The 27,767-nt window shown below is 47.3% G+C and overlaps 2 protein-coding genes across 10 annotated transcripts, besides 1 other annotated feature; one reads left to right on the plus strand and one right to left on the minus strand.

Moving 5' to 3' along the window:
* Positions 1 to 27,767: part of a sequence alteration artifact (region identified as an assembly artifact by the Genome Reference Consortium. This region falsely duplicates sequence located at GRCh38 chr21:34374240-34495759) that runs on past both edges of the window.
* Positions 212 to 27,506, plus strand: LOC102723553 (small integral membrane protein 11B). Of its 9 annotated transcripts, none has more exons than XR_007067774.1 (4): positions 212 to 299; positions 4,160 to 4,248; positions 24,448 to 26,057; positions 26,828 to 27,506. XR_007067774.1 is itself a non-coding variant. In NM_001394152.1 (4 exons), exons 2-3 carry the CDS (start codon positions 4,237 to 4,239, stop codon positions 10,375 to 10,377), a joined length of 177 nt encoding a protein of 58 aa, NP_001381081.1. In that variant the 5' UTR covers positions 212 to 299; positions 4,160 to 4,236; the 3' UTR covers positions 10,378 to 10,379; positions 26,828 to 27,506. The 9 variants fall into 9 exon arrangements, 7 of the variants coding, with proteins under 7 accessions (NP_001381081.1, NP_001381079.1, XP_047296597.1 ...); NM_001394152.1 differs by lacking the exon at positions 24,448 to 26,057 and adding an exon at positions 10,213 to 10,379; NM_001394150.1 differs by having other exon boundaries at positions 24,448 to 24,636.
* Positions 24,849 to 25,809, minus strand: LOC102723451 (family with sequence similarity 243 member B). Its single transcript, NM_001364711.1, has one exon. It carries the CDS (start codon positions 25,807 to 25,809, stop codon positions 25,054 to 25,056), a length of 756 nt encoding a protein of 251 aa, NP_001351640.1. The 3' UTR covers positions 24,849 to 25,053.

Consider the following 27,767-nt stretch of genomic DNA (forward strand, 5'->3'; position numbering starts at 1 on the left):
CCCCAGCGGCTCCCCGCCGGGGCCTACGTGGACTTCAGCCTCCAGCCACAGGGACAAGAGCTGCTGGCCAGGGCTGCCCGCCTGGGCTCACTGCGCCTGCGCAGTGAGCAGCGCGCCCCAGGTCTTCTGCCCGGGCCCACTGCGCCTGCGCACGGAGTAGTGCACTCTCGTCGGCGGCACCGGCCCACTGCGCCTGAGCACGTAGCGGTGCATTTCGGGACCTGTAGTTTTCCCCGGCAGGACGGTAGAAGTCGTGGTTTGTGCGCGGCCAGGCGCTGGAGCCTCCGCTGCCGGGAGCAGTAAGTGTGTGACGTCGGGGTAGAAGGGAGTGACCCAAATTCCAAAAGCTCTTTGGGATGCTGCGATGTCGCGGCCGGCCCCGCGCTCGGGTTTTCCCTCCTAGACAAAAGTCTGCCGGCTCCCGGTCGCGCCGGGTCGGGGATCCGGAAGGTGAAGGCCGCCAGGCCCCACCTGCGGGGCGCCCCTGCTGGACCTGGCCGTCGGGCGCCGTCAACCCGTTGAGCAGCGTGTTCCGGCTGGCACGTGGCCCGGGCGGGGCCCAGGATTGGTTCAAGCCTACGGTGTTGGTCCCCGGAGAGTCTAGGGAGACAAGCAATCCCCTGGAATGGTGGGGGAAGCGATGACAGCCCCTGGTCCTCATCCGCAGCTCTGGGGGAAGTCGGGGGGTGGGGAGGGCGGGTGTTGCTCCCTGAGTGTTGGGGGAAGGGTATGGGGAGAGGACCCTGAACTAGCCCCCAGGTTACCCAGGAGGAGCTGAGGCCCAGAGAGGTTCAGCGACTCGCCCAGGGTTGCACAGCGAGCACAGGCACCGACGTCGCCCTCCGAGGCCTGGGCTTCCAGCAGGGAGAGACCCGGACACCTGTCATCGCTTCTCGGTGGATCCCTGAAATGTTGAGTTGTGGAGTCTGGGCAGCTGAGATCGGGCAGGGCTGGTTTCTTGTAGGCCCAGGCTTCCGTGTAGAGGGCCAAGTGATGCCCAAGGTTCACCTGGCAGCCCCCTCTCTGGACCTACCCCTCCTTATGATTGGGTGAAGGGTTGGGTGAAAAGGGTAGAGGCCGGGAATGAGAACAGCTTCAGAAAGCTCAGACAAAGGGCGCAGCATGATTCGTGGCTGGAAGGAGACAGCAAGCGATAGACTGATCCTTGAATTTGTTAGTGTGCCAAGAAGAAAAAGTATTAATAGATTGTGGACGACACATTATCCATATTGCTTTAGTTGGTCTAACCAAAATAAGCGAATAGCTTTTTTGTTTCTAAGAGAAACCTGACAAAGGAAGACAGGGTATTTTTGCGGTGAAGGAAATAGAAATATTTGGAGTTGTATCTAAGCCACTTGTTACTTTTGTGTTTTAAGCTAAGATCATGGATAGGTCCAGGGAAAGTTAAAAATTTCCCGCACTTCTTAGATTTTATGCCCCTCAAAAACATCCCCACCTTGTTGGCTTTTGCAGTTCAACCTTCAGATACCAGCTCCCTCGTTTCTAATATTGCATTAGGTGTACATATGGCAGCAGAGCAAATAGCTTACTGATACTTTTAGCTTTTTTCTTCTCATTTGCAAAAGACTCTATGAAAATGGCTGGCTTGGGCATGTAATTGAAGGGAGGTGGGGAAAAGTGGTAATTCAGAGGCAGTGGGTGGGAATGAGCAAAGCATGTCAGTGTGGTTCACCCTCTTGACTCCCACCTCACCACAGCCCTTCTGCTACAATTGCAGATTGACTCTAAATATGTTTCTTTCCTAAAGAGCTTGAATTTTATCACTCCAGGTATGAAGTTGAGGCAGCTGCCAGTATATTTTGGCAGTCAGGTTCTGTGATATCAGAGAGGATGGTGAATTGTGAATTCCAGAGTTGCAGAATTGTTCTTTAGATTCTGATTTTTTAAATGACAGCACTTTGGTTTGGAGGGTTAATGACTTACCCCAGGTCATATGCCACACCATGGGTAACACCAAGAGTAGAGCTCAGATCTCCAGTTGTCCTGGTCCTCAGGCTACTGATCTTTATTCCCTGCCCTGCTATCTTGGAATGACTGCATTTTGCCCTGGATGTCGCTAGCCTGTATCCTTCAGGTTGGCATGTCCAGTCATGGAAGGAGAGAGATTTAACATAACAACAATGGCTGACATTCAGTGCTTTCTGTGTGCTGGCCATGGTGCTTAGTGTTTACAGTCTAATCTGCAAGAGAATTTACAGATGGGCAAGTTGAGGCTGAGAGAGGCCAAGTAACTTGTCCAAGGTCACACTGCTAGTGAACATAGCACATGTTTTCCAGAGGGCCAGACCACTGGATGTTTTTTCATTCATTTCCTCCTGTAGGATCGTTGGACCTATTTCTCGTTCTTGACTTTGGGAATCAATATTCTACGTACATCAATTCACTGGGTATGCAGTTTTGCCTCTGAAAATTTTGAGGGAACAGCCAGACTCATCTACTGTATTTGTATACAACTCAATTAAAGCAGGAATTGTAAAAATAAAATTTGTAAGATCTTTAACATTTTAATATACAACATTAGCTAATCACTAAGATTACTAGAGATACTCAAAGTGAAAATTGTAGCAACAGGTTATAACATGTTAGGAGCATATTTCTTTAGGGCAGTCAGAATCTGCTGCTTCTTAAAGACAAGTGGGCCATTTACACATGAAGGTAACAAGCACATTCAGCCACCATCATTATAGTTAAACAGATCTATGATTTAAATTCCTATCGCTACCTTATCTGACTTTGAAAAAGTCATGGGGAAAACTTGGCTACCTTGTGCCAACTGCTAGCTTGTTTTCAAGATATTATAATCTTGAATAGATGGAGGATGAACTTTTTATACTTAGATAGCTTTGTAATTGAAAGTTTGTATAAAAACATCTTGCCTGAAGTTCATCTTATCCCCATTCTATCTAAAGGCCTTTGAAATTTTCAGCCACTTTTCTTAATTATGACGGTAAGTACATTTCAAGAGAAGTGTTTCCCTGACTTTTGAATGCAAAGCTCTCTGCCTGTGTCAGGATGGTGCCGAGGTTAAAGCCCTGGAGCCAGACTGGATGGGTTCGAATCCCAGGCCCACCTGCGAGACCCTCGATGTGTTACTTAAATTTTATTTCCTCCTCTCTAAAGTGGAGGCAGTAAGCTGTTTTATGGGGTAGTTGTGAGGGCTAAATGTCTTAACTCATCTAAGCACTTTAGCCACTTTTTTCCATCTGACACAAAAAAGTTAAGCTATGATTATTGTGCTATAAAGCATTGGATTTCAGAAGAAGTAGGGGCACTAAACACCATCTGCTTGACACCTTTCTTCACTTACAGATGGGACTGAAGCTCTAGAGGGAAGTCACTTACCAGAGGGTGTAGGTTCTTCATCCAGAGCTGAAGTCTTCTTGGGGTTATGTGTCATATTCTAAGAGTAGGGACCTACAAGGCCTTGGAGCGAATCCCAAGGCTCGGGCTGCCAGCCCTGCCTTCTCATTTCCATATGCCATGGTGTGGCATATGACCTGGGGTAATATCCTCTGAACCAAAGTGCTGTCATTTAAAAAATCAGAATCTAAAGAACAATTCTGCAACTCTGGAATTCACAATTCACCATCCTCTCTGATATCACTTCCTTCCCTACCTTCTACTAGGTCTCCCTCAAGCTTTAGAGAAAATTCTGCCTCTGAATTATTGCATCTGACAATTTTTCTGCCCTGTCACTTATTCCCTTGCTCCCAGATAATCTTCGAAAAACCAAGATGAGTTTAATTAACACTCAGAGGACTTGACAAAGACACTCACTCCCAAACCAGCTTGCGTTTAGGTCTGGAGGCAGGTGGAGGGACAGATTTTAGACTTGGGCCCTTAGGTTCACAGATGAATGGGATGGGAGCCCATGTCCCCTCAGAAGCGGCGCTGTGCTGCTGGCGGCTACAGACAGCTGGTGAGGAGAGCTTTCTGCTTAGCAAGGGCCAGGCCCGTCTGGGCCCTCGCCCAGCCCATCCACTTCCCACCAGTCTCTCAATCGCCTTGTCAGGACACAGCCCACCTCTCTGTGGAGCTCACTTTCTGTTCACATTCCCTCTCTCCATCAAAGAGACATCTTTCTAAGGTGGTCTGCCCTAGGAACTCCAAATTGACCTGCTTCTTTCTTCCTGCCCAGATCAGACCTTCCAGCTGCCTCTCATGTACTTGTCTGTTGGGGGCTTGTGTTGATCAGGAGTGAATTCACAGTCTACCATGAATTGGAAGGTGAGTATCGTTTTAAATATTTATGGCTTGGGGTTTTTTCTTCCTCCTGATTGTGAAAATTCAGAATAACAGTTCTACACCAGTAGCTTGATTAAAAAGAAAAAGTAGGTGAAAGCATAATATTTATGTTTCATTTTAAGTTAAAACATAAATGTACATTTATTCGCTGGACTTCTGGAAGAAGGCCAGGCCTTTTCTTCGAGTGTGCATTCACTAACTTCAAATCTTCCTCACTTTTCTTACAAAAACTATACCTTTAAAGCTTTACCTGCAATTTTGCATTGTGCTTTCTTTTTTTACACATTTTTTTTGTAGAGATAGGGCTCCACTATGTTGCCCAGGCTGGTCTTGAACTCCTGGGCTCAAGCAGTCCTCCTGCCTGAGCCTCCCAAAGTGTCGGGATTACAAGAATGAACCACTGTGCTCAGGCCGTTTTGGTTCCTTTAAAGTAGATGCAGTGGACTGAATGTTTGTGTTTCCCCAAGTTCATATGTTGCAACCGTAGTGCCCAGTGTGATGATATTTGGAGTTGGAGCTTGTAAGAGGTAATTAGGTGATGAGGCTGGAGCCCTAATGTTTGGAATAGTGAGCTTATTAAAAGGGCTCCAGGGAGCTCTCTTACCCTCTTTCTGCCATGTTGGGGGTACAACAAGAAGCCAGCCGTCAGCAGCCTGGAAGAGGACTCCGCTAGAACCCCCCTGTACTGCGCCCTGATCCTCAGGCTTTCAGCCTTTCGAACTGTGACAAGTACCTCTTTAATAAGTCACCCAGTCTGTGGTCCTTTGTTCTAGGAGCTGAATTGACTAAGACAGTGGATTAAGATCTTATGAGCAGTGCATACACAAAATCTTTCCAGTGTTTCATACTCTTTCCTAATCTTTTACAGTTGACTTGCCAACAGCATTTTTTTTCCAACGCAAACTTGAGTCTTTCAAAGTATTCAACTTAGTTTTCATAAAAACTTTTGCTTTACACAGTCATATTTCACAAGCGTAATGTTTAAATAAGTTATGGAACATAGTATCAAGTACAACTTAAATAAACTGCTTGGCGAGTAAACACACCTGACCCCTGTGAAACATTAGATTCAGCTGGTGGGAGCAGAAGTTCAAGGGCAGCCAGAGAGTAGGTCAGCAATCAGGTTCCACCGAGGGAAAGGAGAATGTCATCTTAAGTCCCGGAAGTCAATAAGGTGAGGTGGAGGTTGTTTAAGAGAGCAGCCACTAAAATATATTATAGTCACTTTGCAAAGTCTAATATCAAGCAAAAATCATACATTGTCTCACCATCTAGAAATGGCTACTATTAACAATCTCGGTATATTCATCTTTTTCTGTATATATGTGTGGCGTGTTTTCATGCATAGGATCTTATTTTACGTGTTTTTTCAATTATTATAAGCATTTTCTTCAAAACATCCAGTGGTTTTCTATTGCAAGGAGAAACTGGAAAGGTCTGGAAGCAGGATCAGGGAGCCAGGAAGGTAGCTTTCCCATCTTCCCCAGCTGTGTGGGGTGAGGGGCTCGGCAGGCCCTGCAGGAGGGCTGAGGGCCCAGGAACTTGTGTAAGTTAAAGATGGCAGAGTGAGTGAGCTGTGAAGGGTGGGAAGATATAGAACAGTTTGTTTAGCATGCCTTGAGGATCAGAGCTCACAGTGGAAAGGTTGGGAAGGAAAGAAGAGGCAGTGAGAGGATGGAGAGGGGAAGGAGCGGAAAGCAGTGTGGGGTGAGGTTTAGGGAGGTCATTCGCCCACTGCAGTGGCTAAGTCAGTAGAGGAGAGAGGCAGTAACTGGTACTAAGGGCCAGGGTTCAAAGCATTAAACCTCATGCCTCAAGGTGGTGTTTCTCACTCCTGAGCACTAGTTAAGGCAAGGATTTCGAGCCCCACTCCCAGAGTTTCTGATTGGGTAGATCTGGCTGGGGCCTGAGAATTTGCACTTCTTATAAGTTCCAGGCGGTGCTGGTGCACACTGGTCGAAGGCAATGCGTGGGAAGTTTTCCTCTTTAATTGTAGAGTGACACCAACCCATGTGACCACTCGGGCCAGTCTTGCTTGTGACAGTTTTTTCTGCCATCAGGAACAAAGTCTGCCCAAACCTTCCCAGCTTCTGCACCAGGGAAGTGGCTACCAGGGAGCAGCTTCGTGTTTAAACACAGCCCCATCTCGTGTAGTGTTAGAAAGGAATGGCCGCAGGCCGGGCGTGGTGGCTCATGCCTGTAATCCCAGCACTTTGGGAGGCCGAGGCAGGCAGATCACTTTGAGCTCAGGAGTTTGAGACCAGCCTGGACAATGTGGCGAAACCCCGTCTCTACAAAAAAATACAAAGATTAGCTGGGCATGGAGATGCGTACGTGTAGTCCCAGCTACTCGGGAAGCTGAGGCTGGAGAATTGCTTGAGCCTGGGAAGTGGAGGTTGCAGTGAGCCGAGATCATGCCCCTGCACTCCAGCCTGGGCGACAGAGTGAGACCCTGTCTCAAAAGAAAAAAAAAAGAAAGACAGTCATGGCCCTGATTGCAGAGAGCTGCAGAAGGTGGAAGGTTCAGTAGCCCCCAGTGCGTCTGGTGGCCTTCCCCCTCTGGCTCAGTGGGCCATGGCCGGCAGCGACAGTCAACAGTGCTACCTGTGCGTTAGCAACAAGTATGGCCTCATTATTTAAAAACTTAGTTATTCCCATTTCACAGATATTGGGGTTTTGTTTTTAAAAATTGATGTAGATCTAGGCCAGGCATGGTGGCTCACCCCTGTAATCCTAGCACTTTGGGAGGCTGAGGTGGGCAGATCACATGAACCCAGGAGTTCAGCACCAGCCTGGGCAACATAGTGGGACCCCAGCTCTACAAAAAATCAGAAAAAATTAGCTGGGCGTGGTGTCATGTGTCTGTAGTCCCGTCTACTCGGGAGGCTGAGGTGGGAGGATTGCTTGAGCCTGGGAGGTCAGGGCTGTGGGAAGCCGTGATCATGCCACTGTACTCCAGCCTAGTTGGAGTCTCAAAAAAATATTCATATAGATCCAGTCCACCCTGGCAGCATTCATTTTCCTCCCTGAAGGTCTGTATGTTTCAAGAGATGTAAGGGGTTTGTTAAAAGGAAATTGGAGGAAGGGGTTTCATACCACTGAAGGTTAGTGCCTAAGAGAGGGGCAGGAAGGGGGCCCTGGAGCTCTTCGCTTTACCCTGTGAATGTTCTTGACCTCTGCTGCCCTTGTGCTGCGTCCTTCTCAGTCCACACTTCTGCCTCTTGCCGTGCGTCTCCACTGCCTGTAAAACAAAGTGAACACTGAAGCCTCCCACTAGGGTCCATTGGCTGATGCGTTTCCATTTCCATGGGTTTTCTAACTTCTGGATGAGAGAGTACATTCCTGCAATTGCTAAAGCTAAGTTTCCTATCTGGATTGTAGACAGCTATGGGCAGTAACATGGGCTTTGTTATATTAGTAATAGGGCCCCGGCCAGGTGCAGTGGCTCACACCTGTAATCCTAGCACTTTGGGAGGCCGAGGTGGGCGGATCACGAGGTCGGGAGTTGGAGACCAGCCGGCCAACATGGTGAAACCCTGTCTCTACTAAAAATACAAAAAATTAGCTGGGCATGATGCCGCATGCCTGTAATCCCAGCTACTTGGGAGGCTGAGGCAGGAGAATTGCTTGAACCCAGGAGGTGGAGGTTGCAGTGAGCTGAGATGGTGCCATTGCACTCCAGCCTGGGTGACAGAGCAAGACTCTGTCTCGAGAAAAATAATAATAATAATAGGGCCCCATAGGTTTATTCAGAGAGACTGAGAAAGCTGGAAGAGATTAGCTTTTCCCAGTGTGAGTCATTGCCTCAGGTAGCCTGGAAAATCCTAGCAAACAAAAAGAAGTTTATACAACAACATTCTTTTCATAGCTGGTTTGTATGCATGGCGTCAAACCTTCACCTCTAAAATGTGAACCTTCAAGAAAACAGGATTTCAGGGTTTACTGGAGGGAGGGGATTAGCCTAGGTCTGAGGGAAGAAGAACCTGGAAATGAAGTCAGTGTTTAAAGCTCCTTATATTTACCAGAGTAAAAAGTTGAAAAGTTTCACTTTTGGAACTTTTTAGTCTTTTGTACTGATGCCAGAGTGATCTTTCTGAAGTGTATGTGTTGTGCTTATTCTTTACTGTTAAAACGATATCATGGTTGAAAACTATTAGCTAATTACTGAGTGTTCTTGTGTTCTTACTGTTTTAGTAAAATTAAAACGATTTAAGTATTTGCGTCCCTGCCTCCTCCCATGATTTTCATTGTATTTCTATCATATCATGCTATATCCTTCTGCAAATATCCATACATAACCAGTTAAATGATTTCAGAGGTAGCGAGTCTAGTTGCCTCTGGAAAATTCAGTAGCCAAGCCATAGTGTATTTGCATATTGTAAATGTGAAGTGGATGGGTGTGAGGAATGAATCATATATAGTACAGGACAGCGTGATGCTACAGAGTTGGGCTTTGGAGCATTTGGAGCTGGGTCAGGCCCTGCCTCGCTGACTGCTGGCCTCCCCGCCTCTGCATTTTCTCGGCTCCACCGCAGTCAGGGCGAGCCATCTGCTCATGGAGGTGGCTAAGGGCAGAAGGGAAAGCCGCATAAGGCACTTTGCATGCCGTGAGTTCCCAGTCTACAGCAGCTGATGCTACAGCTTCTAAGCGTGAAATCCACATCTAGTTCTGAGTCATAAAGAGTTTCGATACAATCATAGGAACATTCATCTACATACACTGTGATTTCATGAATTTCAGTTTGTTGAAAATCAGGCATCAGTGGAAGGGAGACTGGCCCCGGGGTTAGAATGTCCTTCCAACTGGCTCCTCATGAGGGAGCTGTGGGACCTTCAACCTCTCAACCTCCAGGAGCTCTTCTTTCCTTGCTCATATAACCAGGGGGTTGAGTAGGTCCCCTTGAAAGTTATTTCCAGCCCCCCGGTTCTGTGAGCATATTGTACACACTAACTAGGTTCAGATCAACTTCGGTTAGACTATTAGAGGGAGGTGCACATGTATCCCCCACAGTGGAATCTCATTGGTATTTCATATAATAAGTGATTGACAGAAATAAGGATTTCATTGGGATAAAATCCTACCTGGTCCTCTAAAATAATGATTGCTCAACCAGAGCATACCTTTTCACTATTTGGGAGGGAATTTTTAATCACACAAAAAGCACATACATATCATTCAGGTCATGCTAACCATGTGTATGGAACTAATATTTGCTTTGAAGTACTATTTGCAATATATAGAATTTCACACAAAAAACCTACTAGTGCAAAGAGTGAGTAATTCAAATGCATAGTGTTTCCCTAGACTTTATTTTAGTGAATGGGGTTGCAAGAGCAGTTAGTAAGTAGCCATGTTTTAATGTTTTGAGTTCTGTCGTGTTTTATTTTACCAGCAAGTGCCAGTGCTAGTGAGTCTCTAGAAACAAGAGAAAATCCCAGAGTACTAAAGCTGCAGTTTCCAGAAGCAAGGTCTGATTCACCCTTACTTTGTAGATGAAGGGGCAGGAGCTCAGAAAGAAAGGAGCTCATTGCCTGACCCAGGTCACACGGTCAGTCGGTGGTAAAGTAGAGCTCTGACCCAGGCCTCCGGGCTCCAGCTCCTTTCACTGGATCTGGCTGCTGCCTCAGAAGCAAGGGCCTGGGTGATCAGCAGGTTGCACGGTTGAGCTGTGAGAGACCAGAGTCCCCACGCCTGTGGATGACCGGTGGTCCCCTCCATGAAGCCAGCCGCAAGCAAGCAGCAAAGAGCAGAGCTGTAACTTGACTGTTGGCCCCATGGGGATAGAGACCTTTTCTGCTTGGTCTCCAGTGTAGCTCCAGCCCCCTATCCTCGTGCCTGTTGCAGAATAGGTGCTAAGTAAATATTTGTTGACTGAAGGATCATAAAAGAAACCTCCCATATCGGTGATGGAACATTTAGTTAGCATGGCTTCTTTCTTCTTGAAGGTTCTTGAGCACGTGCCCCTGCTGCTGTATATCTTGGCAGCAAAAACATTAATTCTCTGCCTGACATTTGCTGGGGTGAAAATGTATCAAAGAAAAAGGTTGGAGGCAAAACAACAAAAACTGGAGGCTGAAAGGAAGAAGCAATCAGAGAAAAAAGATAACTGAAGGTGAGTCCACAGTACCCAACCTTGCAAATGGGAGCTGGCCAGTGGGTTGGGGTGACCAATCAATGAACAAGAGAGGTCTGAGACCTCCCTGTCCGTCGGGTCTGAAGGGCTGCGTGGGGGCATGTGGCCTCACCTGTTCTCTAAGGTAGAACTGCTCCATAAAGGGCCAGGTGTGCAGATCCTGGTCCTGGGATGTGAGTGCTGCTGAGCCAAGGTGCACGGAGCATTAGTTCATCCTTCTTGAAACCTGCGGTGGCAATGGTTCTTGACAGGTATTGGGTTAAGAATTGAGGACTCAGTGACAGCTGTGGACCTTCTTCCCAGAGAAGCACACATACTGAAACCATCTGCATTTGTGTGTGGGGAGAAGTTTGCAGATGTGGGGAGTCACAGGTCATTTGAAATTCCAAGATTAAGAAACCCTGTTACCTTTAAGATAAAGTCTGACTCCATGGTATGACAAATAAATCCCTTCCCAGTCTGGTCTTAACCCAGACCTCATTTGCCACATGTGCCCACTCCCCATCCCCCTGCAGGCCATTCCTCAGCCACCATGGCCTTTGGCCTTGCTTATTAGGTTCTTCCCAAGGACCTCCTCACCAGGCCTGAGGGTACACTCATCGTTGTCACCCAGTGCCTATCACAGTGCACACTGGTGGGCTTAGAACACACTTGGGGAGTTACAATACATCAAGGCACCAGAAAGTTCCTGTTAAGCCCCTGTTACAGATTTAACACATGACAATTCACAGTTACCTTGATTCCAGTGTGTTGATGCAGTTTCTTCACTTTGCAGGTTGAGTTCTGTACTTTAAAAATCAGGGGATTCAGCCAGGTGTGGTGACTCATGCCTGTAATCCCAGTGCTTTGGGAGGCAAAGGTGGGAGGATCACTTGAGCCAATGAGTTCAAGACCAGCCTGGGCAACATAGTGAAACCCTGTCTCTACAAAAATTAAAAAAAAAAAACAAAAAAAACCAAAAAAAAAAACCAAAAAAAAACTTAGCTGCACACTTACTGGGTGTGTAGTCCCAACTACTCAGGAGACTGAGGTGGAGGATTGCTTGAGGCCCAGAAGTTCAAGGCTGCAGTGAGGCATGATCACACCACTGCACTCCAGCCTGAGTGACAGAGCGAGACCCTGTCTAAAAAAAAAAAAGGATTCAAATATGGTGGCGGTGGGGTTCTAGATCTGTGGTTCCCAAACCTAGCTAATGATCAGAATTGCCCAGGTGTTTGTTTAAATGAAGATTCCCAGGCTTCAGCCCAGAGAGATTCCATAATGGCTCTGGTTAGGTTTGGGTGTTGGTTTTTGTTGTTGTTTTTAAGATAGGGGATCCTACTCTGTCATCTAGGCTAGAGCGGTGCAGTGGCACAATCTCGGCTCACTGCAGCCTCAGCCTCCTGGGCTCAAGCAGTCCTCCCAACTCAGCCTCCCGAGTAGGTAGGACTACAGGAGCACGCCACCACACCCGGCTAGGTTTTTAAAACAATTTTTAGTAGAGAAGGGGTCTTGCTGTGTTGCCCAGGCTGGTCTTGTACTCCTGGGCTCAAGCGATACTTTCGCCTCAGCCTCCTGAAGTGCTGAGGTTACAGGTGTGAGCCACTGTGCCCAGCCTCTGTTCTTTTGAAAACCCATTAGATAATCCTTAGGTTGTCTTCTCAGCAACAGGTCATTGTAGGAACCACTGGGCTAGGTGGCCTCCCAAACCCAGCCCACTCTGAGATTCCATGCTGAATTCCCTTGCAGTGCCGTCAGGCTTGTTGAGGCTAAAGACCTACTGATGAGGAATAGTAGCAACACCTACTAAGTGGTTATTCTGTGCTGGGGACTTTGCTAAGCATTTCATGCACAACTGTGTTATTCAGCCCTGATGACTCTGTGAGGCATGTTCAGATTGAAAGAATGGCTCTCTCTACATGGTGAAGAACAGAGTCAGAAATTGATCCCAGGTCAAATGCATTCGATCAGCATGGCCAAGCCCAAGCTGTGCTACCTTCCTGAATACAGGCAAGTGAGCTCGTAGGGATGCTTCACTCTGTTACTCACCACTTCCGGCAGCTGCCCACTCGCTGGTCCCCAGTGAACTGTAGGCTTTTGCTAGATAGAAGAAGTTACTTTCTTTCTTTCTTTCTTTCTTTCTTTTTTTTTTTTTTTTTAAGGTGTTTGATTGACTGAAATTTAGGAGTAGGCATTACGATGGGGAGGAGAGAAATTAAAAAGGGTGAGGGAAGGCAGTTTAAATTAAAATGTTGCTGATTGAATTTATATTCCTGACAATCCCATTTTGTGTGCTAAACTGATCAAAGGAAGAAAAGATGAGATGGAAGATCATAAAGGCTTTGTTCCTCCCACAAACATCAGCAGAGACCTGCATTTAAGTCAGGCCTGGATGGCTTAGAAGCAACTCAGGGAGTTGGTCTTCCTCTCTAGGCTGGCAGCTTCTTAAAGACTAGAGACTTGCTTCAAACAAAAAGCGTTTTCAGGCCGGGCGCGGTGGCTCACGCCTGTAATCCCAGCACTTTGGGAGGCCGAGGCGGGTGGATCACTTGAGGTCAGGAGTTCAAGGCCAGCCTGGCCAACATGGCGAAACCCCATCTCTACTAAAAATACAAAACTTAGCTGGGCGTGGTGGCACGTGCCAGTAATCCCAGTTACTTGGGAGGCCGAGGCACGAGAATCACTTGAACCTGGGAAACAGAGGTTGCAGTGAGCTGAGATTGTGCCACTGCACTCCAGGCTGGGTGACAGAGTGAGACTGTTTCAAAAAATAAATAAATAAATAAAAGGGGGGTGGGGTGTTTCAGATGGAAGGGAAACTGATGCTAAAAATACATTGGTTAATAAATAGACTTGAGTGATAGACTTGAGTGGTGTCCGCTTGTTAAGTTTAAATGGCTGAGCATACGTCTTTATGCTGAGCAGTAAACATCGGGTATACTCTTATCAAACATTTCCTACTCATCCCTTTGGTATTCCCTTCTAGATTCTGCCATGTAAATGTCAGCTTGAGTGGACTCCAGCTGAGAAGAAAGAGAAGAAAGACTTAATTATTGAATAATTTGTCAGAGGATAAACTCCCAACCTAGACCTTTCACTTAAAATAGTGTGAATTTGTATATGTTTTTAAAAGAACCAGTACTGGCCGGGTATGCTGGCTTTTACCTGAAATCCCAGCACTTTGGGAGGCCGAGGCGAGTGGATCGCCTGAGATCGGGAGTTTGAGACCAGCCTGGCCAACATGGTAAAATCCTGTCTCTACTAAAAATATAAAAATTAGCCAGGTGTAGTGGCGCGCGTCTGTAATCCCAGCTACTCGGGAGGCTGAGGCAGGAGAATTGCTTGAATCCGGGAGGTGGAGGTTGCAGTGAGCCTAGGTCGTGCCACTGCCCTCCAGCCTGGGTGACAGAGCGACTGCGTCTCCAAAAAAAAAAAGGTAAAATTAAAATTAAAAAAAATAATAATAACCAGTATTTTGTTTACTAAAATAAAATGCCTTTGTAAAAAAAGGAGTCGTGGCCTTTGGAATAAGTCAAATTGTGTATCTCTTTCTCTTTCTCTTACACAGCACCCTCTACCCCGTGTTGTAAAGCGGGGGGTTTTGTAAACTTACACCTCCCCCACCATCTCAAGCTGGGGGGTCCCAGGTGAGAGGCTTCCATAGAGGACAAGGTGGTGCAGAAACATCTGCTGTGGGAGTGGGGTCCCCAGCACTGGGTGCTTCGGCCAGCTACCCCCGACCCCAGGCCCCCTCATAGGCTGCCCTCCCATACCCTCCTTTCTCGTCTTTTCCTCCTACAGGTGCTACACCCCTGTGAGAGTGTTTTGGAGTGTTTTCATTGTTAGGGTGGAGGGAGGCTGTGTGTGTCCAGGAAAGGTGACTCCTGTGTTAACCATGAGGGTCCTCGCAGGGAGGAATCGTTGGGAGCCCTAGGGTGTGTTTTGTCCTCTCCTCACCTGTTTGCTCCTTGGGATTTGCTGATGAGAAATGAAGGGTAGGGCACCCTAGTAGCCACTGGAACCAAGGGCAGGGAGGATGGGAAGATGTTTTACTCAGCACCTAACACACGCAGATCCCTGTGACAAGAGCTCATGCTCTCCCACTTCTCGCAAGACCCCAGAGTGGATGGGGAGTGAGGTGGCAGCAGCTGGCACTGGAAGCAGTGCGGAGTGTTTGGTCTGGTTGCTGATGGCTGCATGGGAAACTTGCAGGAGTGTGTGTTAGTAAACGTCTCCCCGTCCTGGCCCAGTTTGTGTCGAACATTGCGTTTTCCATGTGGGGAGTCAGGGGAGTTCCATCTTAAATTGCACTGTGCTTGCTGGATGCTCTTCAGGACAATTTAGGAAGCAGGAAAGAATTTACAAAGTTCTGAGGACAGACAGACCCTGCTCCTACAAGCTGCAGTGCTCACCATAGTCAAAGTGGACTTTCACGTAAGCCCAGACCTCATTCTCTCTGAAGGAGGCCGCTCCAGCCTTTGCCAGGAGCCCTGGTGACTTTATTCTGCCTAATCCTGCTGCGGCCTGGGGTCCTGTTAGAACGTGAATGGAAGACCACAGCAGAGGTGGGATGCCCTTGGATTTCTGCCATCCCCACGCTTTCGTGACATGCTCAGATGGGGCCTAGAACTGACCCTGGGCCGTGGCCTACCATCCTCCCTTTGTCAGGGCCTCCTTGCACCCTGGCAGGTTACCCCACCCACCCTGGCCCATGTTCCTGCCCCAGGGGCCTGGCCTCTCTGCTGCCCACCCTGCAGGTGTAGGGTATCACCTGCTCCTGCCTTGCCTGGCATCAGACCTGCTACCTTGGCACCACTTCCTCCCTCATGCCCACCCGCCTGTGTGCCTCATAAGTCCAAGGCGGGGGATCTGCTGACCAGTAGACACTCATGTGCTAAACACAAGCGCTTTTCTAGGCTTTGGGATTTAAAGCTACACTTTGGAATTTGTGGAAGATCTGGCCATCTTGGAAAATTAGGTAGAAGGTGACATAAGGACTGGACTAAACCACTGATCATCCCAACAGTGCCCGTGGCTTTTCTGTTTTTTGTTTTTGCTTTTGTTTTTTTAGAGATGAGGACGTGCTGTGTCCCTCAGGTTGGAGTGCAATGGTACAATCATAGCTTATTGCAGCCTTGAACTCCTGGGCTCAAGCGATCTTCCCACCTCAGCCTCCCGAGTAGCTGGGACTAGGCCCTGCTAATTTATTTATCTTTTGTTTAGAGACAAGGGTCACGCTGTACTGCCCAGGCTGGGTGTAGGTTTTTTCTGAAGAGCATTTGGGAGTTTTGTTTTTGCTTGGTTACTTTTCCTATGCACCCTTCTACCACTAGGGGGAGATGATTAATCACTAATTGAAGGGATTTTGTTCGTTTTTTATGTTTTGGGTTTTTTTGTTTGTTTGTTTGTTTGTTTCAATAAAGAAAGAGTTTAATTGCAGTAAGGCAGGCCGCGCAGGAGATGGCGTTCTTATTCAAATCGGTCTCTCTGAAGGCTCAGAGGTTAGGGGTTTTCAAGGCGGAGTTCTTGCTATCATTCCACTCCTTAGGTACATGAAGTTGGTAGATGTGTAGTTTGATGTTAAATTATTGGGTGGATGCATGCACCGCTGGTTGTAGAGACTGGTAAAGCCCACTAGCAGGACCCCACCTGGACCAAAGCAATCCCTCAACCCGCTGGACCATGACCGAGAACAAACACAAAGGACCTGAAATGCGTTGTGAAGGCCAGAAGCCGACATCCACATTCTCCACCCACGGAGAGCCCCAGAGTCCCTCATGCACATCCTGCTTGATCTATTACACACATTCACACATTCGCAACACATTTGTTTGGTTTTCAAGCTTACAACATATTAGAAACAGAAAGGAAGAAAGGCTGTCAGCAGCAGAAATACCTTTGAGCAAGAGGGACGGTCTTTGAGAAGCAGACTTGAGAACTCACCGTGTGCTCTTCATGCGCCAGACACTGCGGCAGCCACAGCGTCCCACATGGGATGCCACACGTGATGATGTTATGTTCATGGTGATGACCTCAGGCGTGAAGAAGAGGTTCAGCCGTTTCACACAGTCTGTTTAACAAGCACATACATAACACAGACATACGTGAGGAATCTCAGAAACCAAATAATTCAAACAAAGAGTCTGGGATTCTTTCAAAAGCGTTGCCTCTGCCCAAGCTTTCTTCAAATTCTGTCTATAGGGAAACGTAGCTGTCAATGTCTCATTCCCGAAGACTTCCAGATGCCTGGATCTTTAGAGTTCTCCACCTCACCCCGAGTTGATTACACAAATGTTCCTGGGGCTTTGCTTAGTGCCCTGCTCTGTGCCAGGCCCCACAGGCAGAGATGGCAGGGACCCAGGCCTGACGTTGGAGAGCTCCTGACCCACTGCCGGAAACACACGCACCATCACACCATGAGGGAGCTCCCCCATGCAGATCTCATCTGTGTCAGAGTGAAGCCAGAGGATGGACGGTGGAGAGTCTAGAAGGAGAAGAGAAAGGAGGATGAGTTCTCAAACATGAGCAAGCAGGAGAGGCCATTTAAAATGCACACTCTGGCCTGGTGCAGTGGCTCATGCCTGTAATCCTAGTGGAGGCCGAGACAGGAGGATCACCTGAGGTCAGGAGTTTGAGACCAGCCTGGCCAACATGGTGAAACCCTGTCTCTACTAAAAGAAAACCAAAAATTAGCTGGGCGTGGTGGTGCATGCCTGTAATCCCAGCTCCTCGGGAGGCTGAGGCAGGAGAATTGCTTGAACCCGGGAGGTGGAGGTTGCAGTGAGCAGACATCGCACCACTGCACTCCAGCCTGGGTAAAAGAGTGAGACTCTGTGTCAAAAAAAAAAAAAAAACCAACCTAAAAAATAAAAATAAAAATAAAATGCAGACTCCTGGGCTGGATTCCAGGTCCACTGCATCAGAACCTGCAGGAGAAGGACCAGGAATTTGTGATACGAACATCCCCAGGCAATTCTTGACCCTCCTTTTGAGACCTACACTGTAGAAGATGGGCAGAGGGAGAGGCAGCAGGAGCCCAACCTGGGAAGGAGCCATCGGGAAAGGTGGGAGGAGGGGCAGGAGACAGCGCACGCGAGGCAGCAAATCCTTCAGCCCTTACTCCCCAAGAGCTCACAGCTGCCTCCACAGAGGGTAACGGTATCATTATCCCCTTTTCGCAGATAAGGAAACTGAGGCAGAGAGGCCCTGCCTAAGGTCCCCCAGCTGGTGGGAGGCAGAGACAGGAACCAGCCCTCATGGTCTCACTGTGAGACTGGACTTTTCACAGCTGTGCGGTCGAGTCTGAGCCAAGTAAAGTAAAGCGAGTTTTTGTACTTCGAAGTCTGGGACATAAAATCTTCAAGACGTCAGCATCAGTGACACGATGGTGACAGAGGCCAGCATTGCTTGTTGTATCTTTTTCCATCCTGTTCCTATCTACACTTCCATTCTTCTGTTCATTCTGCTTGCATTTCCCACCCAGATGGCTTTCACGGACACACACACACACACACACACCGCACACACACACATCACTCACAGACGCACCCTGTGCCCAATGTCAAAAGACAAAACTGCAACACGTTTAGTCATAGACCTCATTGTCTTTTATTCTTGATTCATGAATGGGGCAGCCTCCCTTCTATAAAACAGAGCAAGAGCTCCCACCGGACAATTGCAGAACAGTGGGCTTTGTAAGGTGGGGACAAGGAAACAGAACAATAGAAAAGAAGCTGATGGGTTAACATCAGGTTACTTCAGGACCTCCTAATCACGCTGACTCAGGTAGACCAGAAGCTCCTGTTTTCAGGAAAAACTAATCTGTTTGGGGACCTACCTGCTTCCTTATTAAAGTTTTGGGTTGATTATATGGCTCTTAGCATGACTGACTCCATTTTGGTTTGGTTTGATCTGGTCTGTTGGGGCCTAGTGCAGGATCTCAGTCCAAAACAATAGCCTCCCATAATTTTTGTTTAATGCTGGGTCAGCGGTAGGCTTGGTCCACTTGCGCTTCTGCCTGGGTGGGCCTTCCTCTTTTCCTCCTTTTCTCTCTGTGGTGAAATCCCCATTCTTCTTTCTGTCCTCCACTTCAGTTTCACCTCTTCCTGCAACCCTGCCCACAGCTCTTCAGCGCCAGGCCCTGGACTCAGCTCTCACTACGCAAACCTCCAACATCTCACTGAGTGGGAGGTGGCCCCCACCTCCACACCAGACCTGGACCTTGAGGGTCCAGGCTTGTTTTCCTTGGTACTCCTGGCCCTGACGCACCCAGCCAGGCACACAGAAGGTGCTCCAGTATTTGATGAGTGAATGACTGGTAGCACCAGAGGAAAGGGAGCAGGGAGTATGGCCAAGACCATTAGCTGCCTTCCTCAGTGTTCCTTCTCCCCTTCTCCCTAGTAATAGAACCCTGACTTTTACCTGGCCGTATGGTCACTCAAAATAAAGGACTACATTTCCCACCTTCTCTCGCAACCAAGCCTGGCCAATCAGGTTTAAGTGGAAGTGTAGTGTGGGACTTCCTGGAAGGATCTTTAAAAGGGACAGGATGGGCCCCTCTTCCTCCCTTTCTCCTTTTTGGCTGCCTGGAATACTAATGCAATCGCTTGTTCCGCAGCCACTTTGGACTAAGAGGTGAGTTTGAGACCTGAACCAAATCTAGGACAATGGAGTAAAAAGATAGGATCTTGGGCTCTCAGTGACCATGGATCCATCATTTCACCCCTGAACTGACACCTTGACACTTCTTATTTTTGGTGGTGGTGGTGGGGTAGCTTCTATTTTGTTGGCATCTCTGTGGTCTATTCATAGTTCACCTGTTTTAGCTGACACATGGAGCCAGTTAGAGATGGGCGCAAGGGCTTCCTGATATGAAGACTTGGATTCTGGTCCTGACCCTCCTGTTACTACTGTTACGTACGTGGCTAGGTGAGTCGGTCACCACCCTAGCCTGGCCTTTGTAAAATGAGCTCAATGATCACTGCCCTCCCTACTGTACAGTGTTTGTCTGAACTGAATGAGGTCAAGCATGTAAAGATGGTTTGCATGTGGCAGGACAATCACAAATGGAAGGAGTGTATACTACCTCGGTGGGCAACTCAGCCACCAGTTGGCCAGGCAGGGGCTCCATCCAACCCAATTGGATTGAGCCAATGGCCAACGAACCCCATTTGCTAATTTACCTCTTAGGTCCTTGTAGGGGCAGCACCATTTCCTAATGCACCCCCACCTTGAAAGCCACCTTGATCCGTGGGAGGGAGAGGGGCTGTGGGTATTAGTGATGGGGAAGGCCAGAGAGGCTGGGATGTTCCATCAGCCAACCACTCAGAAGGAGAATAGTGCCACCAACATCAGGAGCTCACTTCTAGTGGACATGTCTAGAGATATGTGGCTCAGCCCTGCGTTGCTGCGTGTGGTCACCCGCTCTTAACTAAATACAGTGCTCTAAATATGGCTGCTCCCAAAGAGACTGTGGGCTGTCCTCACCAGCCATCCTGTCCCACCCCCACCAGAAGAAACCTCTTCTTATTATTAATTCCCTAACCGATTGCAGATATTGCAGATGGTCTTAAAGGAAATGCCAGAGAACAAAGTTTCCTCTGATCAAAGTATCTTAAGATGTGTCCACCCTCATTAGATGCCAGCGATAAAAAGGAACAAAAATTTTTCTCAAAGAGTGAAAAGGAAATGAGATCAGTGATGGCAGGTCTAATTGTGGACATGTTTGCTTCGACCTTACCATGGACCACTCACTCAGTGGGTGCCAGACACAATGCAGTGGCTTGGCGCAGGTTATGTGATTTTTTTTTTTTTTTTGAGATGGAGTCTTGCCCTGTCACCCAGTCTGGAGTGCAGTGGCATGATCTCGGCTCACTGCAACCTCCGCCTCCCAGGTTCAAGCGATTCTTCTGCCTCAGCCTCCTGAGTAGCTGGGATTACAGGCATGTGCCACCATGCCAGGCTAATTTTTGTATTTTTAGTAGAGATGGGTTTTTGCCATGTTGGCCAGGCTGGTCTCGAACTCCCAACCTCAAATGATCCGCCCACCTTGGCCTCCTAAAGTGTTGGGATTACAGGCATGAGCCACTGCTCCTGGCCAGGTTATGTGATTTTAAAGTCCCACTGTATTTTATTAAGGAGTTGATTGAGCCTCAAGGAAGTAAAGCAACTTATCCAGAACATATAGCTACGAAGCTAGAAACTCAAGATTCCAACTAGGTCCATCCAATTCCAAAAGCCCGGTGAACTTTCTGTTACTTTCTATGGGAAGTTTTCAGGTTTAGTATAAAGCAACATTTCTTAATTATGAATACAATCTTATGTAACCAAATTGCACATTAAAGGGTATTCCTTTTGATCCTTCTTTCCTCTTTTCTAATAATTTTTACAAGGCCTCAAAGGAATAGAACTCTAAATCTGTTTTATTAAATTGCTTTAGTTTTCAAACAAAAATAGCTCCTGTTGGTTTATCTTTAGCTGATAACCTAAAAACATTCCTTTTTTATCGCTGTAAAATAATGTGTCTTTAAAGGATATTCTGTCTCCTCTTTAATTTTATGTTGAAATAAAATTTTTTGGTGTCCAGGGGAGTTGGCCATTTTAGCGGCTGGTGTCTCATCTGAGGTCAGAGGTGAGTCTTGCGACATAGAAATGATGGGGGTGAAAAAGGAAAAGCTCAGCTTCAATAACTAAGCTAAGCACGGTGGTGAGGAGCATGGGCTTCAGAATCTCTTGGCCCCAGTGCCTTGCCAGTGCCTCAGTTTCCTCATCTGTAAAACAACTGACAGGATTAAGAGAATTAAATTATAATAGCTATGCGTTAGTGGCATCATGAAGAATGGCTCTAAGCATGAATTCTGGGTTGAATCTCTCTGGGCCTCAGTTTTCCACATTTATTTATTTATTTATTTATTTATTTATTTATTTTGAGAGGGAGTCTTGCTCTGTCACCCAGGCTGGAGTGCAGTGGCACAATCTCGGCTCACTGCAACCTCCACCTCCAGGATTCCAGTGATTCTGCTGCCTCAGCCCCCTGAGTAGCTGAGATTACAAGTGCCCGCCATCACACCTGTCTAATTTTCGTATTTTAGTAGAGATGGGGTTTCACCATGTTGGTTGGGCTGGTCTCGAACCCCTTACCTCAAATGATCCGCCCACCTCGGCCCCCCAAAGTTCTGGGATTACAGGAGTGAGCCACGGTGCCCAGCACGTGTAGCTGTTGGTGCCTATTATTCCAGAACCGCAGAGGCATGGAATAAACGGGATGTAGGGCAAAACCCACTCATCTCCCAAAACTCAGGCCACCCACACGTGGGCCTGCACAATGACAGCACACTGAAGTGACCAAGGAAGTTTGAGTACCATGGTTTGCTCTCAAGGAACTTAAATCCTAAAACGTACATGAAATCCTGAGGGAAAAAGACCTCACAAATATACTACACAATAGGAGTTATTTCACCAGGTTAATTGCCAATGAGAAATGCAATGTTTCTATTGGCAGAGCAAGACTTCCTTTAGCACCTGTGGCTGGCTGAATAGTGGCCACCAAAGATATCAAGGTCCTATTCCCTGGAACCTATGAATGTCGCTTTAGATGGAAAAAGTTCTGCCTATGTGACCAAGTTAAGGATTTTGAGATGTGAAGATGGTTTTAGATTACTCAGGTGGGCCCTGAATGCAATCTCAGGTGTCCTTGTAAGAGGGAGGCAGAGGGAGATTTGACACAGGATGAGAAAGTGGTGTGGCCACAAGCCCAGGAATGCCGGTGGCCACCAGAAGCTGGAAGAGGCAAGAAACAGGTCCTCCCTGGAGCCTCTGGAGAGAGTGCTGCCCTGCCAACAGCTTGCCTTTGGCTGTCTTCTCTGTCCTGTCCTGTCCTATCCTTTTTCTTTTCTTTCTCTCTCTTTTTTTTTGTTTTTTTGGAGATGGAGTCTTGCTCTGTTGCCCGGGCAGGAATGTGATGGTGTGATCTCGGTTCACTACAACCTCTGCCTCCCAGGTTCAAGTGATTCTCCTTCCTCAGCCACCCAAGAGGTGGAATTACAGGCGCCCACCACCATGCCCAGCAAATTTTTGTATTTTTAGTAGAGATGGAGTTTCACCATGTTGGCCAGGCTGGTCTCCAACTCCTGACCTCAAGTGCTCCTCCGACCTCAGGCTCCCAAAGTGCTGGGATTACAGGCATGAGCCACTGAGCCACCGTGCCTGGCCTCTTTCCCTTCCCGTCCCCCTTCCTCTTTCCCTTCCCTTTCCCTCCCCTGCCCCCTTCCCCCCGCCCCCTCCCTCTCCCCTGCCCCCTCCCCCTCCCTCTCCCCTCTCCTCCCTCCCCTCTTTCCTTCCTCCCTCCCTTCCCTCCCTCCCTTCCTTCCTTCTCTCTTTCTTTCTTCTTTCTTTCTCTCTCTCTCTCCCCTCCCTCTCCTCCTTAGCCCCCCTCCTTTCTCCCTTCTCTCTCTTTCTTTTTGAGACAGGGTCTCACTCTATCACCCAGGCTGGCATGCAGTGGTGCGATCAGAGCTCACTGTAGCCTCAAGCTCCTAGGCTCAAGCGGTCCTCCTGCCTCAGCCTCCCGAGTAGCTGCAACCACAGCCACTACATCTGGCTTAATTTCTGTTGTTTTAAGCCACCAAGCCTGTGGTAATTTGTTTCAACAGCCACAACAAATTAATATAGCACTGTTGACTGTCAAGTGAGGCCTGCAACAGTGGAAACTTTATAGTTCTGAGTGGTCAGCTGTTTGAGGTGTGATTAATCTCCAGGAAAAATGTTACCAGGATTCCCTTTGTAACCATGACAAAATGCTGAGAAGTGGTGGACACTTAGTTGCTGAAAAGCACTGAACGTTCGCTTTCATCTGACAAAGTCTTTCTGAATAATACAGGGAGGTTCGGGAGGGAAAGAAGGCAAGCAAACGATGGGATGCTTTCTGCACGTGGCTGTCAGGAAATTCTGGGTAGAAATTCTTTCTTTCTCCTTTTCTTTTCTTTTTGAGACAGAGTCTGACTCTGTTACCCAGGTTGGAGCGCAGTGATACAATCTCTGCTCAATACAACCTCCGCCTCCCAGGGCTCAAGTGATTCTCCCACCTCAGCCTCCCTAGCAGCTGGGAACATAGGTGTGCGCCACCATGCCCAGCGAATTTTGGTATTTTTTGTAGAGACGAGGTTTCACCATGTTGCTGGCCTCGAACTTCTGAGCTCAAGCAATCCTTTCACCTTGGCCTTCCAAATTGCTCGTACAGGCATAAGCCACTGTGCCCAGTCCAGAAATGTTCATAAATTGTTTTTTTTCATAGACCTTATTTTTTAGAGCCATTTTTTAGATTCATGCAGAATTGAGTGAATTGAGTGGGTGCCCCACCACCCACCACCGCTACCAACATCCCATGTAAGTGTACAAAATTTTTTTTTTCTTTTACAGGCAGGGTTTCACTTTGTCACCCAGGCTGGAGTGTAGTGGACAACCATAGCTCACTGTAGTCTCAAACTTCTGGCTCAAGTGATCCTCCTCCCTCAGCCTCCCAAGTAGCTAGGACTATAGATGTATGCCACTCAGCCCAGCTATTTTTAAATATTTTTGTAGAGATGAGGTCTTGCTGTGTTTCCCAGGCTGGTCTTGAACTCGTGACCTCAAGCAGTCCTCCTGCCTCGGCCTCCCAAAGTGCTGGGATTACAGGTGTGAGCCATTGTGCCCAGCCATAAATTATTCTTTTTGCACTCCTCGGAATGATTACCTCTGAAATGACTGTCTGAATGTACATAACCAACAGTGAATTTTATGATATGTTTAATAGGGGTAGTCTTTTTCTATAAAAATGAAAAAGACAACCACAGATTCTTACAACAGACATCGGCAGCAGCCCCAAACCTAAATAGGGAGGTGTTGTCCCAGCTGCAAGTGGCTCAGCTACAGGGTCTCGAGATGAAACTCCACGGCACAGTCTAATGACCTGCTGGAATTCCTGGAGTTGGCGGGGAGATTGGCTGGATAAGTGGTCTCTGCAGACCCCCATGCGTGCCACCCCTTTGCCCACCATAGCCCACTTGAACCCACCACTGTCATAACTTTCCAGGTCCTAACTGGGACCACCTACTCCCCTTGGAGGGTCCGGATGGAGTTTCCCCTCTGCGGCTGCCTCTCACTCATCCTCCACCACTTTGCCGACAAGGAAGGAAGGACAATCGGGAGGAGGGAGTCTTGCTTGGCGACCATCTGGACAATATCTCGCCCATGGCAAGCTGGATCCCTGTGGATTACTTTGGTGGGTGGAAACTTGGCACACTATTTAATTTGGGCTTTTTGGGGGATGACTGCACACTGGTTCTCTTTTTTTCTCAGACCTAAATTTCGACCACTCAACTTTCAGCCTGCTCACCCCTGCTTATTGCCATCCACCTTTGGGCTGGGTTAGACCTAATCCTCCCCTTGACAAAGCCCTCAAAGTAGCCTTCACAAGATAAGAGTCGAGACCCCTAACTTACCAACAAATTTTAATGAAACTTCTAGTAAACTCAAAGCGCTTTGCCAACATCCTTAGGAGCAACCCAGTTCTCGCAGCACCCCATGTGAGGTCGCTGTTGAAGTATCTTTGGCTGCAGTGGTGTGGAATTCATCTCAACAGAGTTGACGGTAAAGACCAGACATGTAGCAGCCTCACTGCTTGTTGGAGGAACCACCCTTAAGAAAATTTCCCAAGATAGTAGTTTTCCCATCTCCGTACTTTGCTAGTTAATGTTCTCCACTTGCTTGCGTTTATCCTTTCAATTCCTTTGCTAATTAAATTGCTGAAAAGTATACATTGGTAAGAATAGCCACTGTCAATGGACTGCAAACAAAACTCGTTTCTGTTATTGATGATAAACCATTTCAGAGAAGACCAGGCTGAGTCTAAAGGGTTCAGATAATTACAAGGGGAAGGCAGAGAGAGTAGTTCATGGCCACAGGACTTGGCCACCTCTGGGCAACACATAATGCTTGCTAAGCTAATGACTGTAGGGATATAGAACTGGCCCTCAGCCTCTCTGTCTTCCTTTGGCCTCTGCTCTTCCTGCTGCCTTCTCTCTTTGACCACGATGACACACTTTCCATAGGCCTTCCTCACCACATCACAGAACTCAGAGAAGAGGCTGTCTTCTTGTTTGATACACAGCTCGTCTCTTAGGAACACCCGATATTTCCAAGGCACCCATCCTTGACTACCCGCAGCATGCACAATACACCAAGTTGGGGTTTGTATGAAATATCCATCACTAATATCTTCCCCAGTTACGAGACTTTCTGGGATATTGGTTTCCCCAAAATATACGGTCTTAAATCCATCATATTGCAGTGTTCTCAGGGTTTTCAGATATTGGAGGCATTGCTTCCTCTTGATGCCATCAAATTGACTTCTGATAATGACATTTCTTAAAAGAGGGCTTGCAAAGCGAGGCATGGTGGCTTCTCAAGTGTTTTTAAAAGCTTGCACATCTGCATCTGGGGAGAGATGGCAAGTGGGGGATGATGACCTCATAAAGGGCTTTCTTACAGTGGTGCCAGTCCCACACATACACTTCAGATTTCAAGCATCATGGAATAAATACTCAGAACAACTCCCTGCTGACCCATAAAATATGGGAATTGCAGATGCTACCCATAAAAATGCTACTTTGACATCACTTCTGCAATAGGTCTGAGACAGAGGTTGGCAATCTTTTAATAGTAATGAGCCTACCCATTTGGCTTAAGATGGGGAGAAATGTTTACATTCATTCATCCATTTCAAAAATATGTACTGATCACCTGCTGTACACCAGGCATTGTGCCAGGCACCAGGGGTATAGTCATGACACACCCAGGGAGTCCTGGACTTACGTGTTGTGTGTCTGTGTATGCATAGAATTTGTGCCAGTTGCCTTCCCATTTGCACAACTAAGAGTGATTTTTTCCAGGTGGCAGAAGGAAGGTATGGCAAATTGCAAAAGAAAGTCAGTCTGCACACCTAGCTTCCACTGGCGCTTGCAGGTCTTTTTTTTTTTTTTTTTTTTTTTTTTTTTCTGAGAGGGAGTCTCTCTCTGTTGCCCAGGCTGGAGTGCAGTGGCACGATCTCGGCTCACTGCAACTTCCGCCTCCCGGGTTCAAGTGATTCTCCTGCCTCAGCCTCCCGAGTAGCTGGGACTACAGGCACCTTCCACCATGGCCGGCTAATTATTTGTATTTTTAGTAGAGATGGGGTTTCACCGTGTTAGTCAGGATGGTCTCGATCTCCTGACCTTGTGATCCGCCCGCCTCGGCCTCCCAAAGTGCTGGGATTACAGATGTGAGCCACTGCGCCCACCCGGAGCTTGCAGTTATTGAACTAATTCAATACCTCATCTTGAAAGCACTTTTAATTTTATATACTCAGGCAAAATGACAGTTTGCTTCAAACTCTAACCATCTCTTCCTTTGTATTTTCTTGCCTCTTTAATCAGAGCTAAAGACATTTCATAAAATGGGCATGAAGGATTCCTTCAAATGAAGACGTGGACAAAATGATTGGTCAGGTCCTTTGCTCTACTGTTGAATGGAGGAGGATTTTTTTTTTTTTTCCCTCACACAGGGGTTTTCTTGGAGCTCAAGTTTGGATGACCCCAGACAGTAAGATAATCTCATCATGGTAAAGTTAATATGAAATATGTGGTCTCCAAACAGCCTCTCCCAGAGGCCAGGATCAGCAGGTTTGAGTGGATAATTGGCTTGTGGTCATTTTCTCATAGGATTTTTCTTTTAGTAGTGGAAACTGTTTTTCAAATCAAATTTGGATGCCAACTATGTGGAACAGAAGTGTGGCTGCTCTGGTGGAAGTGGCAATGGTAGTCCTAGAGTCTCCCTGTCAGCCACACCCTTTGTCTCCCCCTACCCAAGGGACCCTGTGGCCTGGAACCGCAGTGTGAAATGCTATATAGTGCAATGAAGTCAATTCGAAGACAAGAGTTCTTTGCCTTTCTCATCTAATTTTTAGTTATGGATATGAGACGCTTGTTCAGAAGTATGGAAAAGTATATATAATATGTTATCTTTTAGATGTGGGTGTAAATATGCTTATGTATGCAATATGCTTATATTTTAACGCATAAACAACATGAATAAAGCAAACACTCTAGACTTCTCCAAATGTATCTTGTTTTACAGTTTTCATTTTGGAAAATGTCAACATTTTTACATTAAAAAATATTACTCAGCCATAAAAAAGAATGAAATCACGTCTCTTGCAGCAACATGGACAGAACTGGAGGCCATTATTCTAAGTGAAATAATTCAGAAACAGAAAGTCAGATGCCACATGTTCTCACCTTTAAGTGGGAGCTAAATAATGTGTACACATGGGTACAGAATGTAAAATAATGGACTTCGAAAGGGAGGCTGAGATGG

Source organism: Homo sapiens, chromosome 21 (assembly GCF_000001405.40).
Source record: "Homo sapiens chromosome 21, GRCh38.p14 Primary Assembly".
In the NCBI taxonomy this organism is placed as follows: Eukaryota; Metazoa; Chordata; class Mammalia; order Primates; family Hominidae; genus Homo; species Homo sapiens.